The sequence below is a fragment of the Homo sapiens genome, chromosome 20 (genome assembly GCF_000001405.40).
Source record: "Homo sapiens chromosome 20, GRCh38.p14 Primary Assembly".
Lineage (NCBI taxonomy): Eukaryota > Metazoa > Chordata > Mammalia > Primates > Hominidae > Homo > Homo sapiens.
In genome coordinates this window covers 37,567,768-37,592,454 of record NC_000020.11, presented here as the reverse complement: position 1 = coordinate 37,592,454, position 24,687 = coordinate 37,567,768, and the positions used below count along the sequence as shown (strand labels likewise).

At 47.0% G+C, this 24,687-nt stretch overlaps 1 long non-coding RNA gene across 1 annotated transcript, besides 3 other annotated features; it reads right to left on the bottom strand.

The window, feature by feature from the left end:
* LINC01746 (long intergenic non-protein coding RNA 1746) lies at nucleotides 1-21,355 on the bottom strand. The gene is made up of 4 exons (NR_184035.1): nucleotides 21,157-21,355; nucleotides 20,490-20,561; nucleotides 8,445-8,588; nucleotides 1-1,401 (listed from the first exon to the last, which is right to left on the bottom strand). It is a non-coding gene; the product is annotated as a long intergenic non-protein coding RNA 1746 (long non-coding RNA).
* Nucleotides 717-1,216: an enhancer, noted in NCBI's record as "H3K4me1 hESC enhancer chr20:36219641-36220140 (GRCh37/hg19 assembly coordinates)". NCBI's record gives its function as "activates a minimal SCP1, AML or CMV promoter by ChIP-STARR-seq in naive H9 embryonic stem cells {active_cell/tissue: H9 hESC(naive)}" and the evidence as "EXISTENCE:reporter gene assay evidence [ECO:0000049][PMID:30033119]".
* Nucleotides 16,158-16,207: an enhancer, noted in NCBI's record as "active region_17848". NCBI's record gives its function as "activates an Ori minimal core promoter by ATAC-STARR-seq in GM12878 lymphoblastoid cells {active_cell/tissue: GM12878}" and the evidence as "EXISTENCE:reporter gene assay evidence [ECO:0000049][PMID:35858748]".
* Nucleotides 23,934-24,434: an enhancer, noted in NCBI's record as "H3K4me1 hESC enhancer chr20:36196423-36196923 (GRCh37/hg19 assembly coordinates)". NCBI's record gives its function as "activates a minimal SCP1, AML or CMV promoter by ChIP-STARR-seq in naive H9 embryonic stem cells {active_cell/tissue: H9 hESC(naive)}" and the evidence as "EXISTENCE:reporter gene assay evidence [ECO:0000049][PMID:30033119]".

Genomic DNA, 24,687 nt, shown 5'->3' with positions numbered 1-24,687 from the left:
AAACAACCCCATAAGGTGGGTTTTATTAGTGTCTCCAGTTTATGGGGCAGGAAACTGAGGTGTGGAGAGGTGAAATGACTTGATAAAAGTCACACCGAACATAAAGGATTCAAGGGTCACGTGCAGCCTGGGGCTGCCAAGAGCCTTCACCCCCAGCAATAAGGAACCGGAGTTGGCAATGTTTCCCTAAGCTTGTCTCGGGCGGCCCCAGTGGCTGCAGCTGTGACTTTTTTTCCCCAAGGTGGAGACCAGTGCCTGCTGTGTGCCCATATCTGGGTTAGGCCCTCCCCAACATTATCTCCTTAAATTGAGCAGTTTTACCTCATGTTGCACTGATGGCAACCAAGGCTCAGATAGGTGAAGTGACTTGCCCACAGTCACACAGCAAATAAGCGGAGGAGTGGGTATTTGAACCTAGGTCCAGGGAGCTCCAGTCTCCTTTAAGACTGGTGAGCTCAATCAGAAGGCTGAAGCATGAGCTCCAGTTCTTGCTGGACTGCAGTCCGGTCCTGACCTCTGTGCCCCTTTCCTAGAACCTTGGCCCTCTGCCCTGTGGTCAGCAGCCGCTCCTCTTGGAATGAAGGAGGGTTCTGGGCGCTTCTCTATGTCCTCCAGGTCTCTCTCCTCATCACCAGCTGGGGTCTTATTTTAAGAACAACAGAATTATCTTCCTGGGATCCAGACCTTACCCTGCCCAACTCTGACACTTGTCCCCTTGGGTTGAGGTCACCTAACTCCACCTGGTCGCCCTCCTTGAGACTCAAACATTGTGATAGGGAGCCAGAGGCAGGCATTCACCTGAATTCTCCTTCCTGGCAACCAATATGTGTAATGGAAGAGAAACGTGCAAAGGGCTGTGTGGGTTTGGGGAGGAAGGCTCTGCCTGGGCACAGCATGACAGGATGTCTGAAAAAGGGAATTGGAAGCTGGCCTTGGAAAAGGGAAATTCACCAGACAGAGGTGGGAAACCAAAGTCTTTGAGGCAGAGGGACCAGGAAACACAGGGCGGCATGGCATCACACGCTGTCTTAGGAAAACAGCTGGAGTGGAGGCGTGTGGGTGGCATCAGCCAGAGTCAAGACCAGCGAGGAAATCCACTGGAGGTGACGTGGGGAGGAGGTCTGCAATTCCAGAAGATGTACAGGAACTGGGGCTCACCCTTCCATGTAGAGGGGTCAAGGAGCAGTGCAGCAAAGAGCCTCCCAGACCCCAAGAACAACTGCCTCCTGTCACCTTCCCACTCGCAGCAGCCATCACTGGGACAGCGTTAAGGTGCTGCTGACAGGTGCTGCCGCAGGCACCGCTATTGCCAGGGAGGCCTGACAGCCGCTCCAGCTGTCTCCCATCAGAGAGAACACACATCTGAGACCAGACTTGATGAGGTTGTCTCCAGACAGGCATCTGCAGAGAAAGAGAGGGCATGCAACAGGCCACTATTATAATGCATTCCCCACCCATCTCCCCAGTGGCACCACCCAACAAGAGGCTCCTAAGCACCAGAGACCCTCTGAGGGTCTTTCTCGGGCTTCCTCGACCTGTCTGGCTCATGCAGGCACACAAACACACCCTTAAACAGGTCTGAGAGCCCATCTATTGCAATATGACAAATATATACATGTGCATGGACACTGGCACACACAAGCATTCCATAGATGCATCTGCACTGGAGTGTAAGTACGCACAAAGGCTGGGTGTGGTGGCACATGCCTGTAATCCCAGCACTTTGAGAGGCCAAGGCGGGAGGATCACTTGGGCCCAGAAGTTCTAGACCAGCCTGTGCAACATGGTGAAACCCCATCTCTACAAAAAAATCAAAAAAATTTAGCTGGATGGGGTGACAGGCACCTGCGTTCCCAGCTATTCAGGAGGCTGAGGCAGGAGGATCATTTGAGCCCGGGAGTTTGAGCCTGCAGTGAGCTGTGTTCATACCATGGCACTCCAGCCTAGGTGACAGAGCAAGACCCTGTCTCAAAAAAAAAAAAAAAAAAATTCATGCACAAACATGCACATGTGTACATACACATTCATGCCAATTTCCAAACAGAAATGCTTCCATAGACACACATAAACATGGGTATACACATGTATTCATACTTTGATTCCCATATATTCATGAACACAGATGTGCACACCCCATTCACAGCCATACACACAGTATTTAAATGTGGGTTCTCTCAAAGGAAAAGTCTAAGACTGGGATTTGGGTGCAAATAGTTTATGTGGGATCCTAGGAATCTCAGCAAGGATGACAGGAGACAAATGTGTATTCTGAGTGAGTTAACACCTGGGGTCTCTGGGGCTCCGTCCTGCTAGACATCCTCTGAAAGACCATGTGAGACGCACTTCAGAATTGTCTCTGAAGGGCAAGGAAGTTGTTGGTGCTTCTTTCAAATTCCTGGTTGGTTTCTTGTTGTTGTTGTTGTTTTGAGATGGAGTCTTGCTCTGTCGCCCAGGCCAGAGTGCAGTGTCAAGATCTTGGCTCACTGCAACCTCTACCTCCCGGGTTCAAGCGATTCTCCTGCCTCAGTCTCCCAAGTAGCTGGGATTACAGGCATGTGCCACCACAGTCGGCTAATTTTTTTTCTTTGTTTTCTTTTTCTTTTTTCTTTTTTGTATTTTAGCAGTGACACGGTTTCGCCATGTTGGCCAGGCTGGTCTCAAACTCCTGACCTCAAGTGATCTGCCCGCCTCGGCTTCCCAAAGTGCTGGGATTACAGGCGTGAGCCACCATGGCTGGCTTTCTCTACATCTCCTGTTCCTTGCTGACTGAAGGTTGCTCCTGGGCACTAATTCTGCATTTCTGGGCTAAGCGCACCCAGGAAGCACCCTTAGATAAAGACGCAGAAAACCATTACTGTGTGCAGGAGCTGTCTGAAAGGGACCTATGAGGTTCACTGAAAGTATCCACCACATCCAGGATATATCCTGATTCATGAGCTCTCCAAAACACGTGATCAATATTTGCACTGATTCCAAGAGCCACATGTTAAACATGTTAACATCCCTGAAATTGAGATATGCCTTACAATTAAAATTAATTTTTTCTTCCTTTTTAGTACATAAAATACTGTTTTCATTAATAGAATCTCAGACTTAGTGAAATATTTATTATAGGCTGGGCGCGGTGGCTCACACCTGTAATCCCAGCACTTTGGGAGGCCAAGGCAGGCAGACTACTTAAGGTCAGGAGTTCGAGACCAGCCTGGCCAACATGGTGAAACCCCATCTCTACTAAAAATACAAAATTAGCTGGGTTGTTGCGGCACATGCCTGTAATCCCAACTACTCTGGAGGCTGAGGTGGGAGAATCACTTGAATCCAAGAGGAGGAGATTGCAGTGAGCTGAGATCACACCACTGCACTCCAGCCTGGGCGAGAGAGCGAGACTCCATCTCAACAAAACAAAAACAAACAAAAAAAAAACAGAAATATTTACTATATACATATATATGCTGCCACATGCCTAGAGTATCTCTGGAAAGATACACAAGAAGAAAATAGCATGGCAGAACATTGACTTTTATGACAGTTTTATTGAGATATAATTCATATGCCATAAAATATATCCTTTTAAAGTGCGCATTCAGTGTCTTTAGTATATTCACAAAGTTGTACAATCACTATTTAATTCCAGAACATTTCCAACACCTCAAAAAGAAACCCCATACCCATTAGCAGTTAGACCTCATTTCTCCCTGCTCCCAGCCCTAGGCAACCACCAATCTACTTCCTGTCTCCATGGAGTTCCTTATTTTAGATCTCTCATATAAATGGAATCATACAATGTGTGGCCTTTTGTGTCTTCTTTCACTTAGCATAATGTTTTCAAGGGTCATCTACGTTGTAGCACCTTTCTTTTCATGACTGAATAATACCCTGTTGTATGGATATACCACATTTTGTTTACACATTCATCAGCTAATGGATGTTTGGGTTGCTTACACCTTTTGGCTATTATAAATAATGTAGCTATAAACATACATTAGTAAGTTTTTGTTTGAAAATAGGTTCATTTGACTGGATGTATACCTAAAAGTAAAATTGCTGGGTCCTATAGTAACTCTATGTCCAACTTTTTGAGAAACTGACAAAATGTTTCCATTTTATATTCCCATCATTAATGTATGAGGGTTTCAATTTCTCCAAATCCTTGCCAAGTAACACCTGTTATTGTCCTTTTTTCATTATTATACCCATCCTACTAGGTATAAAGTGGTACATTCACTTATTTCCTCTTTAATTTTTATTATGTAATTGTCTCTGCTTACTGTGGATTTAGTTTGCCCCTCTTTTTCTAATTTCTTTATGGAGGAAGTTTAGGTGACTGATTCGAGATCTTTATTTATTTTAATATAGGTGATTGTAGCTGTAAACTTTCCTCTAAGCACTGCCTAAGCAACATCCCATAAGTTGTGGTATGTTGTGTCTTCATTTTCATTCATCTCAAAATATTTTCTAGTTTTCCTTGTTATTTCTTTTTTGACTAATTGGCTAGTTAGTAGTGTGTTGTTTATATTTCCACATTTTTTTGGAAAGTGCTTTCCCAAAGTTCTTTCATTATGTTTTTATAATTAATTTCATTTTATGTGGTCAGAAAACATATTTTGTGTGATTTAAATCCTTTTGAACATATGAGACTAGTTCTGTGACCTAACATATTATCTATTTTAGAGAATGATCTATGCATACTTAAGAAAAATGCTGCTGTTGAGAGGAATATTCCATAGGTGTCTGTTAGGTCAAGTTAGTTTTTAATATTGTTCAGGTCTTTCATTTCCTTGTTGATCTTCTGCATAGGTATCGTATTCATTATTAAAAGTAGAATATTAAAGTTTCCATCTATTATTGTTGAATTGTCTATTTCTGCCTTCAATTCTGTCAGTTTTTGCTTCATGTATTTTGGAGCTTTATTGTTAGATGCATATGTGTTTATAGCTGTTATGTATACCTGATGGATTGACCATTTTATCATTATAAAACATCCTTTTTTGTCTCTAGTATTAATCTTTATCTTAAAGATTACTGTGTCTAATGTTAGCATAGCCTCTCCAGAACTCTTTTGGTTATGGTTTTCGTGTTATGTATTTTTCCTTTTTTTCTTAACTGATAAGGTAGAATTCGTGTCTGCCATTTTACTTTGCCATGTGTATGTCTTACATTTTTTTGTTCCTCTATACCTCCAATACTACCTTCTTTAGTGTTAAACAGATAATTTCTAGTATACCTTTTTTTTTTTTTTTTTTTTGAGACAGAATGTTGGTCTGTTGCCCAGGCTAGAGTGCAATGGCACAACCTTGGCTCACTGCAACCTCCACCTCCTGGGTTCAAGTGATTCTCATGCCTCAGTCTCCTGAGTAGCTGGGATTACAGGTGCCCGCCACCATGTCTGGCTAATTTTTGTATTTTTAGTAGAGACGGGGTTTCACCATGTTGGCCAGGCTGGTCTTGAATGCCTGACCTCAAGTGATCCACCCACTTCAGCCTCCCAGAGTACTGGGATTACAGGTGTGAGCCACCATGCCTGGCTACTAGTATACCATTTTTATTATCTTGTTTTGTTTCTTTTATTTTTTGAGTTATTTTCTTAGTGGCTTCCATGTAGATTACAATCAATATATTAACTTAAAATAATCTAATTTGGTTCAATACCAATATAATTTCCATAGTATACTAAAACATTGCTCCAATATACTTTCATTTCCTCCCTCCTCTTTTATGCTATTGTTGTCATACAAATTACATCTCTATACATTACATTATAAGCCCATCAACATAGCTTTATAATTATTGCTTTGTGCAGTTATCTTTTAAATAAGATTGAAGAAAAAAGTTATAAACAAAATTACATTTATGTAGCCATATATCTACCTATGTAGTTATCGTTCCTCCTTATTTCTATACTTTACTTCTATAACTGTTGTTTCTTCATGCAGATTCCAGTTACTGTTCTTTCATTTCAACCTAAAGGACTCCCTTTAGTATTTCTTGTAAGGCAAGCCTTCTAGTAATAGATTCTCCAATATTTTAAATCTAGGAATGTCTTAATTCCCCATTTTGAAGAATAATTTGCTGGATAAAGAATTCTTACTTAGTAGTCTTTCTTTCAGCACTTCAAATATTCATCCCACTGCTTTCTGGTCTTCGTGGTTTCTCATATAAAGTCAGCTGTTAATCTTCTTGAGGACTGCTTGCACCTGGTAAATCACTTTTATCTTGAGACTTTCAAGATTCTCTCTGCTTTGGGCTTTCAACAGTTTGACAATGAAGTGCCTAGATACAGACCCCTTTAAGTATATCCTTCTTGGAGTTTGTCGCACTTCTTGGATGTGCAGATTAATGTTTGTTGACTAAACTTGTGGAGGTTTTGGTCATTATTTCTTCAAATATTCTTTCTTCCTCATCTCTCTCTCCCATCTTTCTGAGACTTCCATTTTGCACATGTTGGTACACTTGGTGGTATCCTACAGGTCTCTGAGGCTCTAGAGTTCACTTCTGTTTCTCAGACTGGTCCAGTGACCAGATCCCATCCTGAAGCTGTCTAGGGCCCCCCACCTACCTCATCAGTCATGTCATTAGCATACAAAAGACACTAATTACTCTGGAGATTCCAAAAGTTTTAGGAGCTATATCCCAAGAAACAGGTAGAAAACTAAATACCACTGTTTTCAAAAATATCACAGAGATAGGGAGAGAGAAATGGGATTAAGGCAGGTTAAAACATCATGGAGGTGGATGCCTGTGGTGCCAGCTACTCAGGAGACTGGGAGGTGGGAGGATTGCTTGAGCCCAAGAGGTTATGGCTGCCGTGCCATGATCATGCCACTGCACTCTAGCCTGGGTGACAGAGCAACACCCTGTCTTAGAAAAATGAAAACAAAACATCATAAAGCTCATGGTCTTACCAAGATTCAGCTATTTTAAAATCAACACTCCTCAGATTAATGTAAGCTTTTAATTTCCAGTGTTTCAAAAAACTATATTGGAGAGTTTCTCCAGTATTTTCATTGCTTTTATGAAGGAGCAGATTTTTGGAAGTCCTTCCTCCACCATTCAAAAAGCCACTGGGACATGGATTTTTCTTATGTATCTTTTTTAATTGTGTGAAGCTTTTATCATGTCCAGGTATTACCAAATCAAAAAATAAAATAAATCTAAAAATGAAATAGGGTACATACACATCTCCATGTGCACACACAGGATCCAGGAGCCCACATGCATAAGCATAGAAATGTGCCTGTAACACACATTCATTCATCCATGCTGTGGAGTGGCAGGGTCAGCTCTGGATTTCAGGAGTCTCCCCAACCCCTGGTTGCAATGGGGAGCTTGGAGGGGATGAGATGGAAGGCAGAGAAGCCAAGAAGAGGCTGGGGAGTCATCTGGCAGCAGTGATGGTGTGGCATGGACTTGGTCCAGGGGGAGCTACACGCATGTCCACAGCTACTAACTCCTCAGGACCCCATGTGCACACCGGTCTAGGCATGTGCATATGTAAATACAGGGTCCATGTGTTCGGGCATGCATGCATCCGGCAGCATGCTGTTCAAGTTAAAGAGAAATGTAGTACAGACGTCCCAGAAGGGCTGGGGGACTGAATTATAAAACATAAGGGGACTTGGTGAATAGGACAAGATTCTGGAGGGGAGGGGATGAGGAAGATGCAGTTTTCTGGCCTGATGGCCTGGGCCCACCAGCTTCCCTCTATCAGGCAGACCCATGCACCACATTCTGCTCTGGGACCCCCTTTTCTAGCTATGCTGACCCATCCTGGTCATTCCGGAAGCCTATCTCTAGGATAGGGCACAGTTTTGTCAGCCCCTCGTGGAGTTGGCGGGGGGGAGGTGTCATCCTTGGTCACCCTGATTTGTTATCAGCCCTTTCTGTGTCATTCTAGGTCATTTCCCTTCCTTATGAACAATATCTGCAGATGAGAGTAATGTTTGTATCTTGACCTACCCCACCCCTGGAGTTAATCTTATCATGCACTCTGGGTCACTCCACTGCAGAGAGTACACAGGCAAAGGCTGGAAGCTCGCTGGGTAAGCTCCCGGATGTCACAGACATGACTAGCTAATCCCTAACCCCTTCTGACACCAAAGATCACAGGCCTTCTAAGTCCAAGATGCTACAATTCAAGATTTTTCAAAACATGATTTCTTTTTGTTATGAATTACTTCAGACATTCAAAGAATAAATTAATAAAGACCAATGTGCCCATGATCCAGTTTTAACTTATATTAGAATTATGCCTGACTTGCTTCAGTTCTTACCTTTTATTTATTTTTTAAAATGTATTTTGTCAGCAAACAAGCGTATTTATTCCTTCTCGGGTTGATGAGCATTTGGGTTGTTTCCAGGTTTTTGTTATTGTGGACAGAACTGTTATAAGCATTCTTGTCATGTCTGCTGCTGTGTGTGTGCAAGAGTTTCTCTTGGGTATTTACCTGGGAGTGGAATTGCTGAATATTCACCTCCATGAGATACTGCCAAATTGTTTTCCAATGTGGTTGCATCAATTTGCACTCCACCAGCAGTGTCGGGGAGGTCTTGGGGACTTGCATCCTCCGATATCCTTACACAATGGAATGCTATCCAGCAGTCAAAATGAATGAACAACAGCCACAAGCAACAACAAATGTGAATCGTAGCAAAGTAATAGGAAGGGAGAGAAGTCAGCTTCGGAAGGATACAGAGGCCATGCTTCTCTTTTAAAAACTTATAAACAACTTACATACAGAAACACATGTATATGTATATTTATATATAATTTATAACTAATAAAAATATATAAATAAAATGTTACAGATACAATTGAATACCCCTGTATATACCACTCACCAACCCAATTCCTTTCTCTTTCTCCTCCCAACCCCTGAAAAGAAAATGCTTGGCCGGGAGTGGTGGCTCACGCCTGTAATCTCAGCACTTTGGGAGGCCAAGGCAGGCAGATCGCTTGAGGTCAGGAATTCAAGACCAGCCTGGTCAACATGGTGAAACTCCATCTCTACTAAAAATACAAAAAAAAAAAAAATTAGCCAGATGTGGTGGCACGCACCTGTAATCCCAGCTATTCGGGAGGCTGAGATGACAGAATTGCTTGAACCCAGGAGGCAGAGGTTGCGGTGAGCCAAGATTGCACCACTGCACTCCAGCCTGCGTGACAGAGCAAGACTCCATCTCAAAAAAAAAAAAAAAAAAAAAGCAAATGCTCTCAGGGAACAGGGTGTGTAGCCTCTCTACCCATCATGTTTATTTTTATTTATTTTTATTTTTATTTTTTTGAGAGTAACTCTAGAGAGTAGCAGAGATTCTTCACTTGACCAAACTTTAGTCAGGCTCCCGAAACTCTGCTAAGCCCATCTGCATACTTTCTTACAAAATCCAGTTTTAGCAAGAACCCTAAGTCAGTTTAGCAAGAACCCCCTATCCTCAATATCTGATCATCCTTCATATCTAATCAGGCTGTTCACCCTCCACCACGGCCCAGATTATGCCTGATCCCCCTGGCCTGTCTTCAGCAAGAATCCTGTTAGATCAGTTGAGTCAGATTCTCCCTCACCCCTGATGCTTCCTCTCAGTCATTTTCCATCCTTGGACCCCTGCACTGCTCCTTAGCCATAAATCCCACTTGCCCATGCTGTATTTGGAGTTGAGCCCGTTCTTTCTCCCCCACCGCAAATTCCCGTTGCAATGGTCCCTGTTGCCATGGTCCTGAATAAAAAGTCCACCTTACCACTCTTCAACAAGTGTCGTTGAATAAATGTTTCTGTTTTTCTTGTTGTTTTGTTTTGTTTTTTGTTTGTTTGTTTAGATAGCTCTGTCTCCCAGGCTGCAATGCAGTGGCACAATCTCGGCTCACTGCAACCTCTGCCTGCCAGGTTCAAGTGATTCTCCAGCCTCAGCCTCCCAAGTAGCTGGGATTACAGGCATGTGCCACCACACCCAGCTAATTTTTAGTAGAGACAGGGTTTTGCCACGTTGACCAGGTGGGAATAATTTTTTCTCTAACAGATGTGACCCAGCTCCCAGTCACCCCTAGGATCCCCAGTGCAGTCCCCTCAGCTGGGTTTCAGGAAAGGAGTCGAAGGGAAACCCGGAGCCCTTGAACCTGCAGGCCTCTGAGAAAGGAGTCCTACCCCATCTCCAGGCCTGAGGGTGATGTCAGAATCCACAGCCACATCTAGAAGACTTGAGAGCAACGGTGGCCTGTGCCCTACTCCAGGCTGAGCCCCAGTCTGGGTCCACAGGTCTGATATGGCCCAGCAGAGACCCCTGTGCCCAGCATGGTGTGGGAGCATCAGAAAGACTCAAAAGACCAGAGCAGCCTTGTGGACAGTTGCATGCCATGGTGACCAGCCACTGAGGGTCAGAAGGGGCATCATGTCTTGATAGGCAGACAACTGAGGAGTCACCTCTCCTCTCCCATGACCTGTGGCAGTCCCCCAAGTATCATCCAGCCCCATGAAAGAGGGAAGCCCGGTCCGCCTGGGTTTCTTCCATCCTGGCAGAACGGAGCTTGAAATGCAAGTTCGATGCATTATTTAAAAACAAAGGAAGCTACATTTCTTGCACACCTGGGGTGTGGGTGGAGAGTTACACTGAATGCATTCAGAGCTGAGGAATCTGGGTTTCTAGGAAAACAAGCTTTCCAGGTTCTAAGATTCTAAGCTCCCCAAACCTCTAGGTTCAAGGATAATTTGGAAGCAGGAAATGTGTAGCTTTGGGGCTCCTGAGACTTCTGCCAGAGTTACGTCCATTTTCCTGACTCTCCCAGACCCTACGAGACAGCTAAAGATAAGAGATATGGGAAAAAGCCCACCTACATCCCTCCCCAAGATTCTGCTGGCCTTGACAACTCACTGTACCAGCGGGGAAACTGAGGCCTACAGAGGGCCTGACTTTGCCCTGGTCACACAGTCAGCACTAACCCAGGCCACCTCACACATACCCTCCTCCCACGCCCCCTCAATGCGTCTTCCCCAAGTCTGGGCTGCCCCCTTGCCTCTGCCCAGGACAATAGATTCAGGTGGGAGCCGGGGGTCCGCGGGGAGTGGTTGCCTGTGATCCCCATTGCCCGGGCAGGCATGGCCACTCCCTAGGCCCCAGGTCTCTCGCTGCCAAAGGTTGCCATCAATTTTCTGTCCACCACATTTGTCTGCAAACCATGAAGAAAAATCGCTCCCATCTCTCTGCCTCAGCTGCCACTGTGATATATGACTTCAATCAGAGACCCCTCCTCCCCAGAAGCACCCTCCTTCTCCCCCAGTCTCCCCAAGGCTGGGGGTTAGGGGGCAGGGGGAAATGGAGTGATACTGAACCAGCTAATGGTGGTGTGCTTTCAGAGACCCTTTAGGAGATGATGCCCCATCTTGACTTTGTGGAGGAAAGATGGTGTAGACACTGCAGATCATTGCTGTGCAGCCTGTCACCTCTGCATATAATAACACCTCCCCACCTCCTGGACACAAAAGCCACACAAGGTCTGTTTACAGCTTGGTTTTTTGTTTGTTGCTTGTTTGAGACAGGGTCTCGCCCAGGCTGAGAGCAGTGGCACGATCTCAGCTCACCACAGCCTCGACCTCCTGGGCTCAAGCGACCCTCCCACCCCAGCCTCCCAAGTAGCTGGGACTATAGGAACATGCCACCACACCCGGTTAAGTTTTTATTTTTTGTTGAGGGAGTGGGTCTCACTATGTTGCCCAAGCTGGTCTCCTGGGCTCAGTGATCCTCCCACTTCGACCTTCCAAAGTGATGGGATTACAGGCATGAGCCCCTGCACCCAGCCTGTTTACAGCTCTTACTTCATTTGCTCCTTCTGTCATCTCTGCGGGGCTCCTGATGAGACCAATCTTAGTTACATTTACCCTTTTTGCCTAGCCTTATGCTGGGAACTGGGAACCCACAGCCACAGTCCTTGACCAGCCTCAGCATCTCATGACAGAGCCAGACATGAGGGAATAAAGGCAGTGTGGAAATGTAATCACCAAAAACGTCCTGGGTCCATGGGAGCCCCAGATGAGGAGGGAGGTCTCTCTGCTGAGAGCAGGAGTGAGGTGGGATGGAGGAGGCTGGCGTTTGTGTGGCTGGGAGAGCTCTGAGGAGGTGGGCTCTGAGCTGGTTCTGAGGCTCTGAGGTTAGGAGCATAGACTCTGGAGTTGCACTGCCTGCCCTGCCATCCTACTGTGTGACCCAGGGCAAGTTGCTTGACTTCTCTGAGCCTCTGCTGACTTCAGGAGATCTGCAAATGGGAATTTCTCTTAGAGGGGCTGTGAGTGCCAAGTGAATAAGGCATATAAAGTGTGAAGTGCAATACCTGGTGCAGAGGGCTAGCTGGTGTCCTCACAATTTGCAGAGAGTGTCTAGGAGTTTGCCTAAAGGACAATGTGGCAAATGGTTTGGGCAAAGGGAACAGCCTCTGCCAAGGTGTGAACATGGGGAAATAGGAGCCACTGGGAGATGCTGGAGCTTAGGAAGAACTGAGAGAGGGGGCTGGTGTGGATAGGGCTTGGAAGGCCAGAAATTTGTACCCAAGCCTGAGGGGAGTGGGGAGCAATGGAAGGGTCTTGAGCAGGAGAGGGGCCAGGTCAAATCGTCTATTAGAAAGACCCCACTAGGTTGGGCTCAGTGGCTCACACCTGTAATCCCAGCACTTTGGGAGGCCAAGGTGTGTGGATCACCTGAAGTCAGGAGTTCGAGATCAGCCTGGCCAACATGGCCAAACCCTGTCTCTACTAAAAATACAAAAATTAGCCAGGTGTGGTGGTGCATGCCTGTAGTCCCAGCTACTCGGAAGGCTGAGGCAGAAGAATCACTTGAACCCAGAAGGTGGAGGTTGCAGTGAGCCAAGATCACACCACTGCACTCCAGCCTGGGTAAGAGAGTGAGACTCCACCTCAAAACAAAATGAAACAAAACAACACCACTAAAGGTGAATGAAGAAGAGAGGTTGGCGGGACCAAGTTGGGACTCATATTCTGCTCTCTCTGCCCAAATGCTCCTGCATAGCCCTGAAGGATTTCAAATCCTTTATGAAGTCTAGTGCCTGCCCTGCTTACAGGCCCCAGGTACTGGCTGGGTTCCCAGTGGCCATCTCTCCAGCTGAGATATGTGTGTTGGAGCCGGGGGAGTGGAGAAGCCAGCTTCGGGGTGGGAAGCCCATCTGGCAGATTCTGGCTGGAGTAGGGGGCAGTGGCGGGGCAGCCTCCTGCTCATCAGCCTTTCCACTGTGGAGTCAGTCAAGCGTTCCTCCCTCCAAGGAGTGGTGGCTGTCAGGCGTGTCCAAACTGCACTCCTGGCTGCCTCAATTTTGCATCCCCTAGGTAGCGCAGACACCATGAATGGACCAGAGATTGAATGCAAAATCAAAATGCAGCAAATAAATGGATGCAAAAGTCATTTGGAGCCAATAATAAGAACCACCTCCAGACTCAGAAGCAGGGAAAGTTGCACAGAGGCTGAGCTGGCCTGGCTGCTGGTGGAGAAGGGATGTTAGTTTGGGCACCCCTTCCCCGGCTTCACTGGCCCCAACACTCCTCTCACTGATCCACGTCGCTGGATGGTCTCCAAGGTTACTCAGGGTACAGACAGGGAAAATGAGACTTGGGGCCAGGTGCGATGGCTCATGCCTGTAATCCTAGCACTTTGGGAGGCCAAGCCAGATGGATCACCTGAGGTCAGAAGTTTGAGACCAGCCTGGCCAACATGGTGAAACCCCGTCTCCACGAAAAATACAAAACTTAGGCTTGGTGGCACATGCCTGTAATCTCAGCGACTTGGGAAGCTGAGGCAGGAGAATCACTTGGAATCACCTGGAAGGCGGAAGTTGCAGTGAGCCGAGATGGTGCCACTACACTCCAGCCTGGGCAACAGAGCGAGACTCCATCTCAAAAAAAAAAAAGAGAGAGAGAGAGACTTGTAAACAGAGGATAGATACAACCCAAGATACCCAAAGAGTTAGGGCCCTAGACTCAAACAGATCTGAGTTTTGATTCAGCTCTTCCAATTTCCAGCACACGTGACCTTCAGCAAGTCACCTAATCTGCAATTGCTCTCATCACTTTAGTTGGGCAGGCCAAAGGTAAAATATTGGAGCGTGGAAAGGCACTAAGCACTGAACAGAGATGGAGCACCAAATATGCACTTGTGAGGGCAGGTCTCATTCACTTCTCCATCCCAAGGCCTCCGCTGTGCCCAGCACACAGTAGGTGCTCAATGCATATCTGTTGAAGTCATGGATGGTGCAATGACTGCGTTAGGAACTAGGAGCAGAGTTCTAATTTGTTTGCTGATATAGCCCTAGAGCCCTAAACAGTGCCTGGCACATAGTAGGTGCTCAGTAACAGTGGTCCCCAATCTTTGTGGCACAAGGGACAGCTTTCATGGAAGACAATTTTTCCAAGGACCGGTGTGGGGTTGGGGGAAGGAAGGTTTCAGGATGATTCCCGGATGATTAAAGCACATTACATTTATCGTGCACTCTATTTCTATCACATTGTAATATAGAATGAAATAATTATACAACTCACCATAATGTAGAATCAGTAAGAGCCCTGAGCTTGTTTTCCTACAACTAGATGGTCCCATCTGGGGGTGATGGGAGACAGTGACAGATCATCAGGCGTTAGATTCTCATAAGGAGTGTGCAACCTAGATCCCTCGCATGCACAGTTCACAATAGGGTTCGCCCTCCTGTGAGAATCTAATGCCACCACTGATCTGACAGGAGGTGGAGCTCAGGCAGTAATGTGAGCAATGGGGAGCAGCTGTAAATACAGATGAAGCTTTGCTTGCTTGTCCCCCGCTCACCTCCTGCTATGTGGCCTGGGGGTTGAGGATCCCTGCTCAATGATACACACATTAATGAATTTGGTTTTAAACACCAACTTTGTCCTTCCCCTAGTTGCCATCATTGAAGAGCCCCAGCACCCCAAGCACCCCAGCCTGGGCTCCTGGGGGCTGCAAATTGAACTTCATGTGTCTTAGTGCCCAGAGAGGGAAGGAAAACGTTATACTAACATCTGGTAGTCACAGGTACCAACAAGGCACTTCATGGGTTACAAAGCAGGTTCCCATGGAATGTCTTTGCTGATCTCCAGTCAGTTTCACAGATGGAGAAAGAGAAACTCAAAAGATGAGGTGACTTGCGCAGGGTCACAAGGTATGTCAAGCAGAGATGGCTGGGATTGAAATGGCAAATCCTTTCTCTTTGTATCATTCATTCCTCTAACCAGTTATAACAAGTACCTCCCAGTGGGATCATGATGGGGCTCAGACAGGCACTGGTCCCCACTATGGAAGGAGTGAGGGTCCTGGGTCAGCAGGCTGAAGGCCAAGGCCCACCCTGGGCCACCAAGAGCTGTGGAGACAGGGAAGTGAAGAGCAGGATGAGAGACAAGTGGAGAAGCCTCTGGCTAGGTCATCCGGGCAGCTAGGACAAAGCAGAGAGACTAGAAGGGGCAGAGAGAAAGGCAATTACACCAGGAACATCTATTAAGCACTCACTGTATGCCAGGCACTGAGGATATGGCAGTGAGCAAGGCAAACAAGGAACTCACATGCTGGTGGGGAGACAGACTCTGGTTTGTAATTACTCACTGCAAGTAGAAGTGGGGGCTCTGAAGGCAAGGAGCATGGTTTCCAGGAGGACACGGGGACATAAGTTAGGCCTGGAGGGTCAGGGAGGGCTTCTTGGAAAAGGTGGTGCTTGGGCAGAGATCTGGAGGATGATAAGAGAAGGAGGGAGGGAGAGACAGAGACAAGGAGTGGGAAAGACGAGAGTAGGGGGAAGAAACTGACAAAGTCAGAGGAAGAGTTTGAGGACCCAGTGCAGTGGCTCACACCCAACACTCTGGGAGGCCGAGGCAGGTGGATCACCTGAGGCCAGGAGTTTGAGACCAGCCTGACCAACATGGCGAAACCCCATCTCTACTAAAAATACAAAAATTAGCCGGGCGTGGTGGTGCACACGTGTAGTCCCAGCTACTCAGGAGGCTGAGGCATGAGAATCACTTGAACCCAGGAGGCAGAGGCTGCAGTGAGCTGAGATTGTGCCACTGCACTCCAGTCTGGGTGACAGAATGAGGCTCTGTCTCAAAAGAAAAAAAAAGAAAGAGAGAGAGAGAGTTTGAGGAAAGATGATGAGCAAAGAGAAGGATCCAGAAACGAGATGGTCAGCTGGAGTGCAAGGTAGAGGAGAAAAGGGAGCCCCAGACACAGCCAGCTGGGGGCTAACAGTGAGACCAAGAGCAAGGAGGAAGGGAGGGTGAGAGGAAAGAGAGACACACAAATCACTCCAAGCTCCCCACCTACTGTAGCTCAGACTTTCATCTCTGACACAAAAGAGGAACTTGAGTTCCCCTCCAGGGAAGCACAGGGCACTCAGGCTGAGAATTCACATCCCAGCTGTGGTTTCCTGTTTCCCCCTGTAAGCCAGAGGGCACTACTGCATGGAGGTAGCGCTGTGGGGCTGGTGGGCCAGGCCTAAGGACAGAGCCAGAGGCTGAGCTTCCTCCCTCTCCCAAAACCCTCAGTGAGTGCCTCAACCTAATTTTCTGCCAAAGACCCACTGTCAGCTAAAGGGCTTGTTGTTGGGTAGGGTGCTAACTGTTAATGAAGGTGTTACCTGTTAACTAGGATGTGTTCACTGTGGACTAACATGTTCACTGTCAACAAAAGTGTGTGTTAAGTAGCATGTCCACAGTTTACCAGGGTGTTAACTGTTAAAAACAATGTTTGCTGTTAACTAGAGTGTTCACTGTTAACTATATACTACAGTGTTCAACAAGTAAGCTTTTTGTTAAGTAGGGTGTTTGCAGTTAACTAGGGTGTTAACAGTTAATGAAGATGCTGGCTATTAACTAGGGTGTTTAACTTCAACTAAGGTATCTGTTAATAAGGTGTTTGCAGCCAGGCGTGGTGGCTCATGCCTGTAATCCCAGCACTTTGGGAGGCCAAGATGGGTGGATCACCTGAGGTCAGGAGTTCAAGACCAGCCTGGTCAACATGATAAAGCCCCATTTCTACTAAATATACAAAAAATTAGCTGGTGTGGTGGCAGACACTTGTAATCCCAGCTTTTTGGGAGGCTGAGGCAGGAGAATCACTTGAACCCGGGAGGGGGAGATTGCACTGAGCCAAGATTGTGCCACTGCACCCAGCCTGGGCAACAAGAGCTAAACTTCATCTCAAATAATAATAATAATAACAATTATAAAGTGTTTGCTTTGGCCCCAGCTTTTGTGCCTCAGTTTACATACTCCACCCTCCTCCCTCTCTCCATCTTATTGGCTGGTGGTGCTGGCATTTCTCTCAAAGCAGGGCTCATCACTGCAAGTACAAGGTCCTTGTTTGACTTCAGGACCTCTCCCCCAGTAACCTGGCCCCATAAAGAGTCCAACTCAACTCCCCGGTCCCAATCTTAATTGACAACCAAGGTGGAAAGTAAAATACTTTCTGAAATTACCTACATTTTAAAAAAGAAACATTTGAAAGATTTACATAGCCAAATGACTGACTCCTTAATGGCGGAATGACAGGCAGAAAAGCTATTCCTTGGCCTTGAAATCCTGCAGAATGGAGAGGCTGTGAGCTCTGATGGTGGGATTCCCATGTTGTTTCCAGCTTTGAAGTCATGCCTGGGCATCTGCCAGAACATGAGGGGACAGCATCTATCAGTCCTGTCCCCCAGGCTGGAATATTGTGCTGGGTGCTGCCTGGAGAAGGGAGGCCCAGTGCTGGTGTTCCAGGATCCCTGCCAGGGCCCTGACTCAGATGGCCACGGGAAGCCGGAGTCTGCCCTCCAAGTAGCCACTGATTTGCTGGGCAACACTCATCAAGTTATTGCCCAGTTTGGGCCTCTGTGTAAGGTGGGGTTCAAGCCAGCAGACATTGGTGGATCTGCCCAGCTGTATCTTTTGGGGCCACTCTTCAAGGCCCACTTCACAGACACAGAAACAGAGGTCCAGGGAGGTGGCCCTCTCCTAGGTCTGCACCCAGCCTTCACCCACCCCACTCCCTTCTCAGTCCTGACTCCCCAGCCTGCCCCAGGTCCTAAGAGCCCTCCCCCACTGCCAGGGCCATGGCAGTCCTTCTAGATACAGGACGGACTCAGTGCCAGCAGGCCTCCTCGGTCTGGGAGTCAGCTCCTGTGAGAGAGGGGTGGAAGGAGTTCCAAAGCTGCCCATCAGGCCACTGCCAGGCCTTCAGCCCCTCTGCCACCGCAGCCTGCCAGGTTTGGGCCAGACACACACCCACACACATTTGCAAACACGCTCAAGTATGGTAGGCATACTAGTACAATGCATGCCCTCAACTTCACTCCCAGACACACATGCACCATTACACAGACACACAGATGCCCCTACAGACACTCATGACACACACTCAGATAGACCACACACACGTGCCCATGCAGGCCCATGCACAGGGCACACTATGCTACACACCCACAAGCCATGTGTGTCACCCACTGTGCCAGCCCAGCCGCACCACCTGCCTGGACGTTAGCATCGCCCAACCTCAACCATCTCCCCACCCTGTCATCTCTCTGCTGCCCCTCTGAACCCAGCACACACCCCACACTGCAGTCACGACATTCCCGGCTGAAAGCACACTGATGGCTCCCCTCAGGCTCTCGGGGGCAAATCCACTGCCCCACCTCAGCTCACCCCAGCCCTCTCCCCCAGCATACACTCAGCCCTACAGCAGCCCCTCGTCCCCTAGGCCAGAGGCTCAGCTCACATCTAGCACCCCAGCTGGTGCCTCTTGGCCAGGCAGAGGGAAGAGCTGTGGCTGTCAGTCCTCACAGTGGGCCACCCAGAACATGCACTTGACAAGCACTTTCTTATTTAATTCTCTCAACAGCACTATGAGGGAACAGGTACCTCTATTCACCCCATTTTACAGAGAAAAAGACTAAGGCTCAGAGGGCTGGGCTAGGATGTTTGGGGGAGGGGAAGAGAGCGCTGTGTGAGCCTCTTCTCCATACCCCCACCTCCCTACTCCTTCTCTGTCTCATTTACCTTCCTCTGTCCAAACAGGTCTCTCTTTTTCGGAGACGGAGTCTCACTTTGTCACTCAGGCTAGAGTGCAGTGGTGCGATCTGAGCTCACTGCAACCTCTGCCTCTTGGGTTCAAGCGATTCTTCTGCCTCAGCCTCCCAAGTAACTGTAATTACAGGTGCCTACCACCACACTCAGCTAATTTTTGTATTTTTAGTAGAGACGGGGTTTCACCATGTTAGCCAGGCTGGTCTCGAACTCCTGACCTCAAGTGATCCGCCTGACTCAGTCTCCCAAAATGCTGAGATTACAGGCGTGAGCCACTGCACCCAGCCCAAACAGGTCTCTTAAAGCCTCGCCTCTCTTTCCCCTTTCTTCTGAGAGTTGCTGTCCCTGGTCCTGACAGCTTCCCCTGCCTCTGGCCATCTTCTCTTGCTCCTCCAGTCACCAACGTCCCTTCCTCCGAGAAGAGAACAATGGGAACTGTGTACAGGCCTCGGTTTGGCCGAGGCTCCGCCCAGCTCTGACAGTCACTAGCTGTGTGATGCTGGGCAGGTGGCTCCATCTCTCTGTGCCTCATTTTCCCCATCTACAAAGTGGGGGTGATAATAATACCACTTAGCATTGCTGGGAGGAATAATTGAGTTAATACAAGCGAGTGGACACTGTTGATGCCCAGCTCCGATGTGTTTGGATGCTAATAAGAAATCCTTATTCAGGCCGGGCACGTTGGCTCACGCCTGTAATCTCAGCACTTTGGGAGGCCGAGACGGGTGGATCACTTGAGGTCAGGAGTTCGAGACCAGCCTGGCCAATATAGTGAAACCCCATCTCTATTAGTAATACAAAAATTAGCAGGGTGTGGTGGCGTGCACCTGTAATCCCAGCTACTCGGGAGGCTGAGGCAGGAGAATCACTTGAACCTGGGAGGCAGAGGTTGCAGTGAGCTGAGATTGCACCACTGCACTCCAACCTGGGTGACAGAGTGAAACTGTGTCAAAAAAAAAAAAGAAAGAAAAAGAGAGAGAGAGAGAGAGAGAAAGAAAGAAAGAAAGAAAGAAAGAAAGAAAGAAAGAAAGGGGAAGGAAGGAAGGGAGAGAGAGAGAGACAGGAAAGAAGGAGAGAGAGAGAAGAAAGAGAGAAAGAAAGAGAGAGAAAAAGAAAGAAAGAAAGAAAGAAGAAAGAAAGAAAGAAAGAAAGAAAGAAAGAAAGAAAGAAAGAAAGAAAGAAAGAAAGAAAGAAAAAGAAAAGAAAGAAATCCTTATTCGGAGGCTTGACCTGGGGGCCTGGGAGTCAACGTGTCCCAAGAATGGCCCCCAGCCAATGACTAACAGAGGAGTATGAAAGCCCGGATCTTTTGCTTCCAGCTGGGACAAATTCTGGGGTGCTCCAGACCCACACCCCATTAGGCTGAGGCTAGGACATGGTCTGAACTCACACCCTTGCCTGGCTTCCTCCCCTTCCCTGTTCTGCAGCCCCTCTCCCCCTTACCTGGGCACACCTTTGAAATAAATCTCTTGCACAGGGGACTTTGTCTCAGGATCTGCTTCCAGGGACCCCGACCTAAGCAACAAGTCAAGCTATTTAGCATAGATCTGGCTCAGAGTAAATGCTCAATCTATTTGAGCTACTATCATTTTATTTCCTGGCAACTATGTGACTGGAAACAAATACCTTTTCCTGTCTGGGTCTTAATTTTCTCATCAGCAAAATGAGCATCATGATCTCTGCTCTGCATAAATTTTCATGGAATCACTGCGTGAGGGGGCCGGGTGTGATGGCTCAAGCCTGTAATCCCAGCACTTTGGGAGGCCAAGGCAGATGGATCACCTGAGGTCAGGAATTCCAGACCAGCCTGGCCAACATGGTGAAACCCGTCTCTATTAAAGAAATACAAAAATTAGCCAGGTGCAGTGGCACACACCTGTAATCCCAGTGACTCGGGAGGCTGAGGCTGGAGAATTGTGTGAACCCGGGAGGTGGAGGTTGCAGTGAGTCGTGATCACACCACTGCACTCCAGCCTGGGTGACAGAGCGAGATTCTGTCAAAAAAAAAAAAAAAAAAAGTGTGAGGAAATAGGCGAATGTCCACCTCCACTGAAGGATGGGCCGGGTGAAGGGACAGTTGCGGCTCTTCCTAATCAGTCCCATCACTTACCTGCCCTCCCAGTCACCATAGCTGGGAGCCCCCACCTCTGCCATTCCATGCATCCCTGGCCCAGAGGAGGCAAAACAGCCCTCTGCTTCCCTCCTCCAGAAGCAGGAAAACTTCACATCAGGATCCCGATGTCATCTTGAGATCTGCACAGCCCTCTTCTCACTTGAACAATTGTCCTCAAAGCCACAACCCCTCTGACTCTTCCAGGTTCTATTGCAGAAGCCTGGCCAGCCAGCTTTTGCTAGGTCATAAAAGGGCGATTGTTAGATTTTCGGGAACTTTGAGAACCAATTGTTAAACTGCTGGCAACTTGAAATCGATTGCAGTGGAAGTATTTACACCATGAAAACTGGCAAATGCTACAGACCCCAGCATTCTTTGGAGAGGTGGTTTACTAGCATGCAGCAGACTCCATCCCTTTATCAAACTCCCACCTGAGCTTCAGTCCTTTTAACAGAGAAAATATTTTGTATTTTTCTAAGTTAAGTGAAATCACTTTGCTTTTGCAGATGATCTTTTTATAGATTTATTTTCTATGGGTAGGTGGTTCACACATTGAAAAAAAGCAAAAAAGTTTCACATTTATTCCTTAGCACTTCCACCCCTAACATACATTCCCCATAGAAAGTCTTATCTTGAACTACCTCTTAAAGATTTCTTGACTTATAGAGTCTTAGAAATATTGACTTTCGGAATCTTCAAGTTATAGAAACTTTAGATTCTGGAATCCTGAACCCTTAAGACTCCTGGCTGTTAGAATTGGAGCATCCCAATTAGGGAAGTCACATCTTATTCAGGGATTTGGTTCTAGAGTTAATGGGTGAGCAAATATCCCAGTCTGGTGTAGTCAAAATGCCCCTTGCCAGTACATATATGCAAAGGAATATTATTCTGCCATAAAGAAAGAATAAAATCCTGTCATTTGCAACAACATGGATAGAACTGAACGACATTATGTTAAGTGAAATAAGCCAGGCACAGAAAGACAAACTTTGCATGTTCTCACTCATTTATGGGAGCTAAAAATGAAAACAATTGAACTTACAGAGACAGAGAGAAGAGTGACAGTTACCAGAGGCTGGGAAGGGTTGCAGGGAGGCAGGGGAAGTGAAGTTGGTTAATGGGTACAAAAACATAGATAGAAGAAATAACGGGAAGCTAAGGCAGGAGAATTGCTTGAACCTGGGAGGCAGAGGTTGCAGTGAGCCAAGATCGCACCACTGCACTCCAGCCTGGGCGACAGAGAGGGACTCTGTCTCAAATAAGATCTAGTAGCACACTAGGAAGACTATAGTCAAAAATAATTTATCGTATATTTTAAAATAACTAAAAAAGTAGAAACGGAATATTCCTTACACAAAGAAATAATAAATGGTTGAGGTGACAGATACCTCAATAACCCTGATGTGATTATTACACATTGTATGCCTGCATCAAAACATCACATGTACCCCGTAAATATATTACACCTATTGTGTACCCAGAATAATGAAAAAATAATTTTTAAAAAAGACAAAATTTCCCTTGCAAATCCTGTAGAGACATTCCATGCTGGAAACCATTCAGCTGTCAGTGAGTCCAGCTCAGTCAGCTTTTCCTCCAGGGACGAAGCAAATCCAGCCAGGCATGGTGGCTCACACCTGTAAGTCTAGCACCTTGGGAGGCCAAGGCAGGCAGATCACTTTAGCCCAGGAGATCGAGAACAGCTTGGGCAACATGGCAAAACCCCATCTCTACAAAAAATACAAAAATTTGCCGGGCATGGTGGCATTCACCTGTGGTCCCAGCTACTAGGGAGGCTGAGGTGGGAGGATCACCTGAGCCCGGGAAGTTGAGACTGTAATGAGCCGTGATTGCATTGCTGCAATCCAGCCTGGGTGACAGGAGACCTTATCTCAAAAAGAAAAGGAAAAAGAAAGGAAAGGAAAGGAAAGGAAAAAATCCCTGCGTTTTCAGTGGAGCAGATGATCAAAAGTGTTTGGTGTGAGTTTAGGAGCTATGGCAGAGTAAAATATGTGTATTTAAACCCTGGAATCACTCCACACCACTATGAGAGGCACCTGGAAGGCAAAGCCACACGTCTGCCACTTTACACTCTGGCAGAATATACAGAAACCCCAAACTGCTCTCTTCCTCTCCTCAGTCATAGTTGAAGTTCTGTGTAGCCTTCAATCATAACAAATTAAAATTATCTGCCCACCAACAGTAGACTGGATAAAGAAAACGTGGTACATATACACCATGGAATACTATGCAGCCGTAAAAAAAGAATGAGATCATGTCCTTTGCAGGAACATGGATGGAGCTAGAGGTCATTATCCTTAGCAAACTAACATAGGAACAGAAAACCAAATACCCCATGTTCTCAATTATAAGCGGGAGATAAATGATGAGAACACATGGACACATCAAGGGGAGTAAAAGACACTGGTGCTTACCAGAGGGTGGAGGTTGGGAGGAGGGAGAGGATCGGGAGAAATAACTAGTGGGCACGGGTTTAATACCCGGGTGATGAAATAATCAGTACAACAAATCCCTGTGACACAAGTTTACCTTTAGAACAAACCACGTAACAAGCAACCCTGAACTTAAAAGTTTTAAAAAATTAAAATTATAAGAAATTTGGAATCAGAAGGGATCTCACAGTCAAACCCTGTCAAATGCTTAAGTATCCCTTACAGCATCCCCAAAAAGAGTTCATTCAGCCTCTGTTTGAATTCCTTCAGTGGCAGGGAGCTCACCACCTTGCAAGATAACCCATGCCACTTCTGGTCACCTTTAATTACAGTGTTGGAACAAGGTGTACCTTCCCATCTCTGATCATTAACAAACACTTACAAAGTGCCTCTCCTGCAGGAACCAGGATGCAGAGGAAATCAGGCCCTACCCAGAGACCTAAAATACCAGCATTGAGATGGAAATCATGGTCTGAACACTCAGAGGGGGGCCAGTCACTCCAGCGAGACTGTGACTCCCTTGACCTCACCCCAATTTTGCATGTAATTTGTGAGGATTCATAGAGTCCTCAAGTCCCACGATCAAGTTTAAATCTCTTACAGTATAGACGAGGTTATTGCAGCTTGAGCTGGGGGGTGATTTCCCCAAGGTCAAGTTCACACAGCGCCTAATCAGCAGTCAGGATCCAAACCCTTATCTTCTGCCTCAAACCCAGCAGACGCCCCCCAACCCCACTCCCACATCAGATCCCTTTTCCCAGCCGAGCCTAGACAAGCCCAGAATCTGAGATCAGAAGCAGAGCCTCCCCCTCCAACCTCCCAGCCTCTGCCACATCCCCAGGGTTGGGGGGTTAGATCTGCATGGCACCCCCCCCCCACCAGCCATTCTGAGCCACAGGAGACCCTGGCAAGAACCCAGACCACTGAAGGGGGCAGACAGCTGGGCCGGGTGATGGGTGGTTTTAATATTTAAACACAGTTTGTTGCTGCACAGCCAAAGGCAACAGCAGCTGCCTCCTTTTTCTTCTCCTTCGTCTCCTTCCTTCCTTCCCTTTTTTTAAATCTTTAATGTCTC